Source organism: Homo sapiens, chromosome 5 (assembly GCF_000001405.40).
Source record: "Homo sapiens chromosome 5, GRCh38.p14 Primary Assembly".
Taxonomy (NCBI): Eukaryota; Metazoa; Chordata; class Mammalia; order Primates; family Hominidae; genus Homo; species Homo sapiens.
The window spans coordinates 74,365,159-74,379,644 of NC_000005.10; the positions used below are offsets into that span (position 1 = coordinate 74,365,159).

General features: G+C 43.1%; 1 long non-coding RNA gene across 5 annotated transcripts in view; it reads right to left on the reverse strand.

Annotated features, from left to right (window-relative positions):
• The window catches only part of LINC01331 (long intergenic non-protein coding RNA 1331), a 209,330-nt gene that overhangs the window by 37,715 nt on the left and 157,129 nt on the right, over positions 1-14,486 (reverse strand). For all 5 annotated transcript variants that reach the window (NR_197435.1, NR_126354.2, NR_197436.1 and 2 more), the window contains one exon: positions 4,196-4,363. This is a non-coding gene — a long non-coding RNA (long intergenic non-protein coding RNA 1331). The remainder of the gene's footprint in view (positions 1-4,195; positions 4,364-14,486) is intronic.

The following is a 14,486-nucleotide window of genomic DNA, read 5'->3' on the forward strand; positions in this document are numbered from 1 at the left end:
TGGCTCTGCCTACACTGGTAGGCCAAATAGTAACAATAATGGCAACAACAACCTCTTGAAGAAGAAAAAGTCTAAAATAATATAATCAGAATAGCTCAGTATTTGTTGAGAAGCTTCTATGTGCTAGAACTAGGCTGCGTGCTCAGATTTGCCTCACTTAATACTTAACCACACCTCATGAGAATCACTATCACACCTGGTCTCTGTCCCTGCATACCAGCCTGATGCATGGGCTGAATGAGCCTGGATATCTGAATACTAATACATTCCACCTCCTGTTGGGATACCTTGCACTCTCATTTGGAACCTTCTCAATGTTAGCCAACTGGACCTTCTTGAATTTTTACATACTCACAAGATGCCCTGCTGGATGGGGCTTTCTCCAAACATAAGCAAGCACTAGGGTCTGACCTTGGGTTTATTCATCCCAATGCAGCCCAGGTGTTCATACCTGTTCCCAGTGATCCCAGCACCAAGTGGGCCATAAGAACTGGGTTCTGCATGGTTCCAGTTATTGATGAATAACAAATCTTGGTAACTACCAGCCTAGTGATAGTGGCTTCAAACCACAGCAATCATTTTATTATCTTTCATATTTTGTTTGGATCAGGAATTTGGGAAGCTACTGGGTGGCTGTGGCTTGGGGGTCTGTCATGCAGTTGAAGTCAGTTGGTGGTGGGAGCTGAAACAGTGGGGAAGCTGACAAACTGGGGACTGGCCAGATATCTCTCTTCATGCAGTCTCAGGGCTTCTCCATGTGGCTGTTCCATATGGACTAGTTGGGCTTCCTCCCAGCATGGCAATCTCAGAGAAGTCGAGCTGCATACATGGCATCTCAGGGCTTTGGCATGAACATTCCAGTGAGTAAGGTAGAAACCATGGTACCATTTTTGACCCAGTCTTAGAAGACATATAGCATGACTTCTTCCACAGTCACAAACATGTCAAGATGCAAAGGGAAGGAACATAGATTCCACCTCTCCATGAGAGGAGTGTTAAAGTTACAGTGTAAAATAAGCATGTGAGATGGGAGATATTACTGCAGCCATCTTTGGAAAGTACAATCTGTCATAGCTACTAGAGAAGAGGGTCTACTGGGAAATAAGACAGACTCAGCCCCTAGATGCCACAAAAGCATCTGATCCTAATGTTCACACTCTGCCCCCATGAGGAGGGCTTAGATTTTTCACCGTCTTCTCATGTGGGCCTTGGTTTCCCATCATCTTTTCAGTTTCTCATTGAAACCCTAGCCCTAGCCTTTGAAAATTCAGGCTTCCTCCCCTAGACCATGGCAGCTCTTCCCATCCTAGCTGGACCCCATTCCTGAGGATTGCCGACTGACCACAGTGGACACATTGTGGCCCTAATCTATACCTGGCAAATGCCACTGAGAAGAACACCTGCCACTCCCACTTCTGCCCCTCTAGTACCCTCCTGCAATGACCATCCCAACCCACACTGAATTCAAATTCACTAAGTTGCCTATTTATTTTACCCATTTGTATGACTCCATTGATGACATCCAATGTGGGTTTCACCAAAGCAGCTGGCTGAAACTCCAGAGTGTGCAATATCATGACACTTAAGCAGGACACTTCAAGGTATGGGCCAAGACAGGACTCAGCTCTGCAATTTACTAGCAATATAAATTTTAGACAAGTCACATGACACTCTGAATTCTTGTGATATGAGGATAAGAGATAAGAGTACTTTGCTGTGTGGTATTTATCTGCAGGCTCCAGCAAGGTGCATATGAAAATGAGTTGAAGACATGTATCATGAAGACCATGTAATTATTATTACAATTGCCACCTAACATTGCTTCTCTATTCTCTTGCCCTGTCTACAGGGAAAGACAGTGTACCCTTCAGCTAAAATATGTCCATTCCCTCTTGGCCAGCCTGCTCAAAGCCCAACAGGCTGTCTGTTCATTTTTCTCTATCACACTCGTGCAGCAGGAGATTGGTGCAGTGAATGCCATCCTGGTCCCACCTCCTCTGCCCTCACTCTCACAGGCATGCTGTGGGCAATCTCAGCCTCTTTCCAGATACCCTGTTAATGCCACCCTAAAATTGGATGATCTAAGTGGTTGGTCCCAAAGACCAGTCCCACATGCGTGGACACACCCAGGCTGTGCTCCTTGAGTGAGCAGAGAGGCCTACAGCTGGGCCTCCCCTAGCACTGTGTGTTCACCCTGTCCTGCATTCCTGGGATACAGGAGGGAACCGGGTGCATGAGGACAGGCCAAGGCACCAAAGTGACAGCAATCAGCTGTGGATAAAAGAGCACAGTCCTGGACAAGCACCTCATTCCTCTCCCACAAGACTCAGACCATTCCAGGACAAATTCCCAAGGATGTTGCATTATCCGCCTGTCTGGACAAAGTCTGGCAGGAAGAAAACCTTTCAACGGTTCCAGCTTGATGTTTCTGGGCTCTGGGCTTTTTTCCTTACTCTGATCTTTCCCACACAAGAAAAAGGAGCTGCTGGCCCAGCTCTGAAGATCTGGCCCATTTGTGATGCAAAGCAGCTTATTTCTAACTGCAGAAGTGCCAATAGTGCTGGAGGGGGCTGACTGAGGAAAAGGATGATAGAATTGTTTATCTTTCAAGGAAACCTAGAGGGTACAAACAGTCAAAAGATTAGCCTGGGTAGCTTTACTGCCAGGGATGGGTGGCACGATGGGAACCTGCCTCCCAATTCTGCCATGAATCAAGGCCTAAAACTTTTACAGGCATTTCTCTTTACTCCTCAAAGTAGCTTCAGGGCGAAAAAGAGTGACAGTTTAATCTCTCTATCCTCACCAATTTTTATTTCCTCCTCCTGAACTACCCCCTCACCCACACTCCCAACATAAAAAATCCATCTGGTGTCACCAAGGGCCAAGCAAGGTCCATGAACAACTGTTGGAGGCTGATGTAGCCAGTGTGGGCTTGGGAGGAGCCTTGGGAGAATTGTCCTAGACTGGCCAATGGTGGGGCAATGGTGGGCGTGCTGGAGTGGAGGGACTGGGGGAGGGAGAAAAACAGAAAGCGATCCAGGACACATGAACGGGCCTGGAATAATGAGAAGGGAATGTGGCTAACAAAAATAGCCAAAGTACACAAGAAGAGAGAAAGGGAAGAGCCGCCCTCAGAGGAAAGAGAACAGAGAAGGAAAAGAAGATGGAGGAAAAGGAGGAGGAGGAGGCAGGGGGAGAAGAAAGTGCTAGAAATGAGGAGAGAGTAAAAACAAGGCAGAGAGGTTTGGAATGAGAGGAGTTAAAAGAGTGTGACAGTAAAAGAAGCAGGAAGAAAGGAAGGGAGAAATCACCAAATTATAAATGGGTTGTGCCCTAAAGACTTTTTTCACAATAGGTAAGTTTAAAACTAAAACCCATCTCCATCCAAGACACTGACTCCCATGCTGACGAAGTTCCTAATGTGACCTGCAAAGTGGGCCAACTTGCACGGCTCCAAGAGCGAGCACCTCCTGACACTTTGTACCTAGGCACCTCTCTGGCCTCAGCCTAGTCCTGACCCAGATATAAAATCTCAGGGCTCTCAACCCTGCCTGCACATTAGGATTTCCAGGGAAACTGGTTTTGTTTTTGGTTTGTTTGTTTTTTTCCAGACAGAGTCTCACTCTGTCACCCAGGCTGGAGTGTAGTGGCATGATAACGGCTCACTGCAATCTCTTCCTCATGGGTTGAAGCAATTCTCCTGCCTCAGCCTCCCAAGCAGCTGGGACTACAGGTGTGTGCCACTGTGCCAAGCTAATTTTTGTATTTTTAGTAGAGACAGGGTTTCACCATGTTGCCCAGGCCGGTCTCGAACTCCTGACCTCAGGCCATCCACCTGCCTCGTCCTGTCAAAGCGCTAGGATTACAGACATGAGCCGCCGCGCATGGCCAAGGGAAACTTAAAAAGTACGCATGCCTGGGTTCTTGCTTAGATTAGTTTAATCAGAACCTCTGCTGGAGGAACACATGCAGGGTTTTAAAGCACATCCAGGTGATTTTAATGCACAGCCAGAATTAAAAATCACTAATAGAACTTACACCGTAGCGTTCAGCTCTTGGGGGGGTTAGTGGGCTTTTGGCCCTCGTGAATAATATTGTTTCTAAAGGGAAATGTGTTTAGGTTTTAATTCCAGATGCCAGGCACTAACCAGCCCCCACACCCTGTATCCCACCCACCCACGTCTGCAACACTTACTTTGTCAATGGAAGTGGGGGCCACAATAGCTGGTCGAGCTTCCCCCTCCACCCTGAGTTCCAATGGGAGGCCCCCATTCCGTTCCCAGTGTGGCCAGGGCCATCCAGTCATGTGTGGGAAACTTGAGTGTTTCCAAGTCAGGGAGTTCTTACTCAAGTTTGGTTAAAGCTGAAAGAAAAGAGAAAAACAAAATGTGTCAACATGAGTCTCACTTGAATAAAAAATAAACATACAAAAAGTAAAAGAAACAACGTATCAACAATAAATGCCAGAGATGGAGGCTCTATAAGAAATGGCAGAACCTTCAAGTTAACAAACAGGGCCGGGCACTGTGGCTCACGCCTGTAATCCCAACACTTTGGGAGGCTGAAGTGAGCGGATCATGAGATCAAGAAATCAAGACCATTCTGGCCAACATGGTGAAACCTCGTCTCTACTGAAACTACAAAAATTAGCCAGGCACGGTGGCGCGTGCCGATAATCCGGTAGTCCCAGCTACTCGGGAGGCTGAGGCAGGAGAATCACTTGAACCCGGGAGACGGAGGTTGCAGTGAGCCGAAATGGCACCACTGCACTCCAGCCTCCATGGAGATAGAGCAAGACTCCGTCTCAAAAAACAAACAAACAAACAAACAAACAGGAAGACACATGCCTGGAAATGAAGTTGAAATGTGGCTTAACAATTCCATACTAGGAAATCTGCTGTGTCAAGACATCAAGAAAACTGGTTTTTAAAGCTGTGTTAACTTGTGTTAGAGCTGCCAGACATAGGGAGATCATTCCAATCAAACCAATACACAGCCATTTCTCCTGGGGATAAAGGGACAAGATGGAGCTTGAGCACTAAACATTTGAGAAACTCTGCAACATGTGGGGCCACTGAAGACTCCACGCAAACCTCTGCTGCCCGCATGCCCCACCCACGAGCCGGCAACTTAAGGGTTAGGTCCCACTTCCTACGGATTCTGTGGAGATATGCACATGGGAAGCAGGATGCTGCCTGTGAACAACACCCAGGGAGACAGTTGGCAGCAGCACAAAGCTTCGTGAAATCCTTGAAGCCAACAAGACAGATCAGAACAGGCCAGAGGGTACAGCCAAAAACCTGTTGTTTCCTCACTTCTTCCAGCATCACACAATATAAAATCAATCAAATAACTGAATTACACCAGCCACAGCCTAGTGAGGATTATGTAAACGGAGCCATTGTCTGGTGGCAAGGCAGCCTCCCCTGAATTCCCCTCTGAAGAGACTCTCTGGCCAGCAAATGGGGGGCCAGGGCCCTGGTGCCCAGCTGGTGGGCCCTGGGCCTGCACAGAATAGAATCGCAGCTCATCTTTGCTGAGTAGGTTTCTCCTACCATGAGGGTGGCTGCTCCATGAGGGGCAGCCAGGTGGAAGAAGTCTGCACATCAGCCACCCTCTCTTACTCTAATTAGTAACAGGACAACTCAGTTGTGCCTAAATTATTTGAATTCCTTTGTAAATGGGGCTCCATAGTTACCAAGATCAGAGATCTTTGCACATTCCTTCAGAATAAGGGGTTCATAGAGGGGGCCCGGAGGAGCAAGAAAGATGGCAGCCCAGCCAGGGGAGAACTGGGGCATGCTCCAGGATACAGGATGGCCATAGCAACACCCTAGGCAAAGCAGCAGCTCCAGAGATCTGATCTTGTCCCTCAACAGCATGTGCTGTTCCTCCCATAATGGCAAGTCAGCCATTCTCTGTTCAGATGCTAAGGCCTCTTCAACAAATGCATCCATCTCATGGCTTCTGCCTTCTCACAGCTTCCGTTTCTTGTGCCATCTACTTGCTTGTCTCCTCTCTACGTGCCTCTTAGCTTATGCACATCTCTAAAATCTGGCATATTTGAATGACACTTAGTGACACTAAGACAGAGAGACTGATTAGTTCCATTAATTACTACTCTCTATGGACCTCTCTTATTGGACAGAAATCTCACTGCAGCCTCTCACTGGCTGCCTTTTGAGTCAGGCACCATCCTCTGGTCCAGACTGCTAAGGTCAGAATAGAACAGGGTCATCGTGAAAAGCATGGTACCCCATGCATAAGGAATGGCCCGTGGCTTTGTTCAGGCAAAACACCTTGTACAGGACAATCTCAGCCTCCCTTGCTGTGTGACCCAGCTTTCCTTTTGTGAGTTTAAGACATGCACACTCCTGGACAAGACACTAAAGCTATCATGAGCAGTGCACAGGAAAGCAGTGCATTACTAGAAGAGAAAGAAGTCAAGGGGCTTCTAGTGCCAAATATCAAGGATTCTGGATTCTCATATGATAAAGTTGAAAATTACTGCAGTGAGGTTGAATCAGGTGCAAAGGGAAGAATAGACTGTTAGAGAAGGGTAACTAACAGTTATCCAGTGCTGGCTCTGGGTCAGGCCGTGACCCGGGAGTTAAGCACTCAACCAGCATTAACCACTACACGTACCTCATGACATTCTGACGTCACCTGGGGCGGACTGGCAAACCTGTTTGTTGGCTGACTTCAAAGGACTTCCAACCCATTCTCCCTTAACCACTATCACAGAAGCTGAAAAAGACTTTTCCAACTTCCCACAGGTGAGGAGTCTTGTGGTCCTGTTCTGGCCAATAAAATACAATGGGAAGTCATGTGGGAGTTTGGGAAAAGTTGTTCCTTTTCAGAGAAAAGGAAGAAGCAGCCCTAGAACATAGACCCTTTCCCCATGCATATACTTGAAAAAAAATCCTGCTATCACCTCCCACTCCCACCCCCTGCTTTCTGATGGGAATGAAGACTTAATACCTGGAGAGGCTGGTGCCTTTTTATAAGATGAGGCAACAAACATGAAGATGAAATTAAAGATGGTGAAGTCATCAAAAAGAGCGTGGGTTCCTGTGGAGCAGCTGAATCAACAAATCAACAGCAGCTGCATATCCAAACTGATACAAGTAATATCACTATCCCCATCTTTTATATAAGAAAAATGAGGCCACGGGTGGGTAAGCAACTGGTCGAAGATCTCTTAGTTCAAAACCAAGCCTGTTGATTCCAGAGACCAATCCATCATGATATGCTCCTCTCCAGACAGAAGAAACCTTAGAATTGAAAACTTCTTATTTAGAAGGACCCCTAAGACCCTGTAGCCCAATTCCTTCCAATTAAGAGATAAGGCGCACAGTGGTTAAGTGCTGGGCCCAAGTCTATTGGCTTTCCCCTCCTGAAGCTGAATCCTGACACTCATCCAGTGTTCTTTACATTACTCCATGCTTTCTCTCCCGGGAAAAATAAGAGACTATAATTCCTGTACAGTACCATGGTGGCTTCTACATTGCCTTAGCTAAGGATTTGTCATCTTGATTCATTTTGGGCCTCTGACACCACAGAAACCAAGACAGAAGTAAGGACAATAGTATTGTATTTCAGAAAGTTATCGTGTTGGCCACATTACACTTCAATGTTTTTAGACTATATTAAGCCAAGATATTTTATACCAGAAAATGTTACCTGAGAAGGAGTATTATTAGTGGCTTTTGCAATATTCACTCCAGGAGCCTCTGCAGCACAATCCCCGGAGGGAGAACAGTATTGCATTTGAAAAGCAATGGCAGACGCCATCCCTGAGGCAATTTCTATTATTAAGCTGCTCAAAAATAAATAAATAAATAAACCAAACAAAACTCTCCAATTTTCTAAAGAACTCAAGAAAATGAAAAGGTCTTTTTACACACATTTGCCACCTTCCCATAGTTTGTTGGCCATGATGAAGACTTTGGTTTTGAAAACCCAACTCTAAACATCTTTTTTCTTCCACACTCTGGCTCCTTTTCAAGCATCTCTTAACTCTCCCCAAAAGCTGCCATCATCCTATGATTGATGCATTTCTGGAGATTCAGCTGAACTTGTCTGTTCACATTATCCAGCTGTTCAGTGCCTGTGGTTTTCACTAATGGTAGTTACATTTGATCATTCCCTTCTTGCCCCTAAACTTTCTGGCAATGCTCAAGAAAAATGTGGAATGCAACTAGTACTGAGGGCCCTGCAAATTTAGCAAAGTTTAGGATAGGAAAACATTTTGCATTTGCAATAATATAGGATTCAAGAGAAAACGAGAAGACTCATTCATTTATTTGTTCCACCAATAAATGTTGAGGACCTGTTGTATGTCAAGCTCTCTGCTCAGCACTCTAGATGATTTATTCCATTTAACAATGCTGCAAACTTAGAAGTTAAGCACTACTATTGCACTCAGTTTAATCAGGAAATTAGGGCTTAGCAAAATAGAATAGCTTAACCAATGTAAAATGTGATGGGGGACTTCAAAAAACTTACAATCTAGAAGGGGAGGTAGCAGGTAGTACACACACACACACACACACACACACACACACACAAACTCCAACACAAAGCAGAATGTATTCAATAGATGATCCAGTTTCAGAGCTCAGAGAAAGAAGATATTGCATTCAGGCCTCACGGAAAAGATTGCATTTAATGGGGTTCTAGAAGATGATTAAGATTACTGCAAAGAGAAATAAAAGAGAAGCAGATCCCAGCACAGTAGAAGGAATGACGTAAGTAGAAGGGTGGTGGCAGGGAAATGTAGAACATGCTTGTGAATGGAGGATAAGCCAGTTGAGTAAGAGCAAAGGGTACAGGAATAGAGTAAAGGTGTTAGGACTGGTAACGTAGGTTGGGTACAGGTCATGAGGTACCTAGAATGTCTATGTTAACCTGGAACTTATTAGAATCACAAAGAGGAGCCACTGAGCAGTTTTAGGAACCCATGATACTGTCCCACGGCAGTAAAAAGAGTGTGTTTAACAGTAATACGAAGCATGGAAAAGGAGGCAAGGCTGGTGATTGCCAGTCCAGGCAGCCAGCAACCACATGACACCATGGCAAACAGTGAAGGCCTGAGCCACGGTGGAAGTGGTGGGGATGGAAAGAAGACCACGGACACAAGACCCATGGCAAAAAGACCTGGCAATGGATAAGTGGGTGAATGAGGTGTCAAGAAATGATCAGATGCTGATGGTGCCACTAATGCACATCCAGACAAAGCTCAGTGTCTGGGAGTAAACTGTCAAACAAAAAAATATCAGTGTGAAGAACTTCCAGTTTACAATGACACCTGGCTAGCAGTCCATGACTCAACCTCTCTCAATTTCCCAGTAAATATACATACATTCCCCACTACATGTTTTAAAGAATGAAATTCAAAATTAGCGTGAATACAAATTGCCAAAATGTGGAGAAACATTTTCACCAACTCCAAGACAGCAGAAGGTGGATTCAGAGAAACAGTGAGTGGCCAAGCTACAGGTGTTCTCCTGAAGCAGGGAAACCCACACATGGCAAAGAAAGTGAGATGGCCTCTGGTCCTTCCCCTGTCTGCCCTGTCTCAAAGGCCTAGGTCAGTGCTGAACAGTAAGTTCTATTGTGCAAGTGCTTATTTCTAAGGTACCAGAGTAAAACACCAATCACCTGTTCTCCACCGCATCCTCTCCCACTAACCCCACCCCACTCACATTTTCTATTGCATCTGTGAACTGAAAGCAACGAGCAGGAAGTTGTCGGGGTCTAGAATCATGCTCTACATCCTAGTGGATGTAGCCCTCATATTGAAGCTACATAAGCAAGAAAAAAGACTCTAAGATATCCAACAGCAGTGTGTGCCGGGCTTCTAAATTTCCACCAACTCCCTCAGTTCAAAGTGTCAAAGAATCAAGCAAGAGAGTGAGATCTTATTTCTCTACAGCAGAGCCACAAAATCTGTGTGTTGGCAAACACTGAATGCAGAGGGAACTTGTCTAATCTAAGGATTAGTAAACACCAAACTAAATAGAGGGCCTATGAAAAAAGTATGAAACCTCAGGGGAAAGGGAACAATATCCCAGAGATCAAGAAGATGAACACACCTTTGAAAATGATTTGCTATCAAAAAAAAGAGAAAATGGTATGAAATATTTTTATTATTTTCAGTAGGATCTAAGAAGATATGGCCTCTCTGAAACAGGAGCAGAAAGCCAAAAAGCTGAACTGAAAGAACGCAATGAGATGAAAAGACAACGCCATGGAATGTAAAGACAATAAACCCAGGTGAAAAGGAAGCTGGGTGAGATAAGGAGGCTGAAATTACAATATGAGAAATGAAGTCAGCCCTGAGGGCAGTAAAACAGACCTTGGGAAATCTAACCAGTAATGTGCAGAATGGAGTTGAACAGAAGATAAAAGGGGGAGGGAGGTCCAAAAAAATGTGTTATTTTTTAAGGCAAATGGGAAGATGATATATGTAGAGCACAAAGAAAGGAAATTCAATCTGCAAATAATAGGTGTTACCAAAGACAGAACCAAAACACAGTAGGACCAGAGCAATGATCACAGATATAATTTGAATGCAGTAGACATAAACTTCTATAAGAAATCTACTTAATTTTTCTGTCTCAGGATTGTTGTCTTTAAAACGGGGGTTTAAAGCATAATGCAGAGAGTTTTATGAACATTTGAAGGAGCATCTATATGTTATTTGCTTGCCTTCAATATTGGTAGATAGTAAATGCTAAGTAACATCAGTTGTAATTTATTATTACTCTATAATAGCTCATACAAATTAGTAAGCCGAAAAAAAATAAAAGTACCAAAAGCGTGATGAGTTCATTCATGAAATAAAACTATGAATAGCATATAAGCATATGAAAAATGTTCCCCTCATTAGGAATCAAAGAAATCCAAATTAAAGCCATGAGTTACAACTTTTCCAATAACAAATTAATTACGGTTCTTTTTCTTTAATGGTGATGCTCTACATTGAGAAAAGTGTGCTGAAATCCCACTGCTTTGCTGGTGGGACTCTAAATTTGTTCAACCTTACAGTTGATATTTATAGATCAAAAAGATTAAAGAGATTTATATTTTTGTTATGGACTGAAGGCTTGTGTCTCCCAAAAATTCACATGTTAAAGCCCTAACCCCCAATGTGACTGTATTTGGAGAGAGTCTGGGAGGAGGTGATAAAGGTTAAATGAGGTCATAAGGGTGGGGCTATAACTGATTAACTGATAGGACTGGTGGTCATATAAGAAGAGGAAGAGATACCAGAGCTCTCCCTCCACCGTGTGAGAATACAGCAAGAAGGCTGCCATCTGCAAACCAGGAAGAGAGCCCTCACCAGGACTGGCACCTTGTTCTGGGACTTCCAACCTCAAGACCTGTGAGAAAATAAATTTCTGTTGTTTAAGCCACCAGATCTGCAGTATTTTGTTATGACACCCCAAACAACTAATAAAATTATTTAACCAGAATCTCTTCTAGGAGTCTATCCTAAGGAAATAATCAGTGAAGCAGGCAAGGATTGAGGATGTAGCCTGCAGCATTAGAGGAGTAGTTAAAAATAACCTCAATCTCTAACAATAGATGTTTGGAAAAGTACAAAATATATATTGTTGAGTCTTTTGAAACCATAAAATCAAATGTTAAGGCTTATTTAATGGTGCAGTGGAATAATTGTTATCTAATATTAATACAAAAGTAGAGCAAACTCTATATCAATATGATTCTTATTTTGTTAAATTATTTATCAAGTATATCCACATAGAGAAAAGAAAAAAAGGACGTACATCAAAAAATTTTTAAAAATCAACTGGACATGGAATATTATCTCTGATGGTAGTCTTTTTCTTTTTTTCTTTTTTTTGAGGTGTAGTAAATCTTCAACAATCATCCTGTGTTATTTTTACAATAATAAAATACATTTTCTTTTTAAACAAAACCTATGAATCTTGCTTCCATCATTAGCTTGGAATAGTCTTTAAAGAGAGCCTTGTTTCTTCATGTTATGCTTATGTCCTGCCTGTAAAGTTTTAGAGACATTATCTAGGTCATTCACCTGCATTCATAAAACAATGTCATAAAGAAGTTTTCACTACAGGATGCTGGCATTGTTATTTTGTTGGTAACTCCTGCATGATCTTACCTACAATCTCCAAACAATTGGGCATGTACCTAGGAGTTCTATAATAGAGCTTAGCAAAATTCTTGCTTTTGTCTTTAAGACATATCAGTCCAGTTGGGCGAGATGGCTCATGCCTGCAATCCCAACACTTTAGGAAGCTGAGTTGGGAGGATTGCTTGAGCTCAGGAGTTCAGGACCAGCCCAGCCCAGGCAACATAGCAAGAGCTATTTGCTAACTAAAATTTTTAAAATCAACTGGGCATGGTGGCATGCTCCTGTAGTCCCAGGTACTCGGGAGGCTGAGGTAGGAGGATCACTTAAGTCCGGGAGGGCAAGGCTGCAGAGAGCTCTGATCACACCACTGCCCTCCAGCCTGGGTGACACAGCGAGACCTTGTCTCAAAAAAATAAAAAATAAAATAAGGTATCTCAGTCCAAAATCAGATCAGTTTCCTTCGAATTTCAAAAAAGGAAGTGAAGTAAACATGATTATTTTCTTGAAAAAGACACCACAAATATACCAAAATGGAAAATATTTTGTGGAAGAGAGAAGAAATTTACTCTAGATTGTTTCAGAAGAAGGAACTAGAATCAAAGGGTGAAGCCAGAGGAAGGAAGATTTTGATGCAGAACTGAGAACTCATTAATTAGAGATTCCTTGCAAAGTATGAGTCCCCCATTACTGGTGGTTAATAGCAAACAGATGACCATGTGTTTGAAAGGAAGAGAAAACAGAAAGATTTTAATAAAAATAAATAGGTTTATTTAAGGTTTAAATAAAATAAAAGCTTTTTTTTATTTTTTTACATCTCCCAAGTCTCCATCATTCACAGAAAGATAATTTCTACATTAAATTTGAACCAAACTGAAAGGCAGACTAGATAATCTTTAAGGCAAAGTAGCTATATCATTTTTGTCCCAACTGAGCACTTTTGAGAGAAAAGAAGTGATAATAATTACACCGAGACAGGGGCTTTCAGGTTAAACTGAAATGTATGGTCATCCTACTCTAGGGTCTCTTCCAACTCTTTGACACTAACTAACCTCTATGTTCCTCAACCTTAAGTGTTTAATCCTTGCTTCGGGGGCTAAACTGTTTCAGCACCTACCTTTGACTGGCTTAATTAAAATGGTCAGACATTCTGGTGTATAACAATCTTTCTTTGAATGGCTGAAGCAGAGAGGAGGAGAAATGCCAAATTCCCCCAATAATTGGTCCTTGGAGAAAAGAGAGAAGTGAGCACAGGTAATTGGAAGCCTACAAGGTACATGGCACTGGCAACCCCAGAATTATTTTGAGCTGCAGTTAGCAGCATACCTAGGTGATTACTACTTGGATATTTCAGTGTTTCCCAAGTGTAGCTGGAATGTGTGGCTCTGATTGGTTTTCCAGCTGGAAATGTTACAGAAACAGGAAGATTTCTGCTTTCAAGTGTCTTGTTGCATCCTGCCTCTGCTTGGCAGAAGCTCTGGTCTGACAGTCATGTACATCTCTTCCGCTGTGCTTTAGGATGGACATGAGTAATTTAGGGTGAGCTACAGCAACACTCACAGAATCACCCCCACAACAAAAAAGGCCACCCCCAAATACACCCTGTGTGGTTTTACTATGGACAATCACAGGGCCATCAGCTGGAAACAGGTGGTAGAGAAGATTTTAAAGGTAGGCTTTTGTAGATACCCATTGATGTGATATGATTTTTTCAGGGTCCCTGCCTTTTCTGAATATCTCTTCATTGGCCTCTCAAAAGTACCATGGGCTAAGGCATCATGCTCTTATATTTCCTATTGGAATGCATAAGCATTTTATCCTAGAAGTAAGACAGGAATTGACTTGTGATCAATAGTGTTTATATTCCTGCACCCAGATTAGAAACTCTCCCAGGGCAGAGAGTCTTTTTATATTTTTGTGTGTTCTCAGGGCTTGGCAAAGAGTAGGGGGTAATGGTGGTGGTATAATAGTGTTGATAGTAATCATCATAATGGCTATCTTTTTTTAAAAGAGAAGTTGTTTATTATAAACAGAAAGGGCAGGGCTTCCAAGAGAAGTTAGGAGAATTTTGAGAGGGAAAGAAACCTTGTAATGACCCACAGATGCCATCAAATGCGGACCCAGTTAGGACTGCACAGCAAATAATTTTGAGCAGCTGGAAAGCACCGGGTCTATGAATGAGACTTAGTCTATTTCTGCTACTACAACAAAATACCTTAGACTTGGTAATTTATAAAAAACAGAAATTTGTTTCTTACAGTTCTGGAGGCTGGGGAGTCCAAGATAAAAACACCAGCATTTGCTGTCTGGTAAGTGCCTTTTTGCTGCAAACTCACGTGGCAGAAAGAGCAAATGCTGTGTTCTC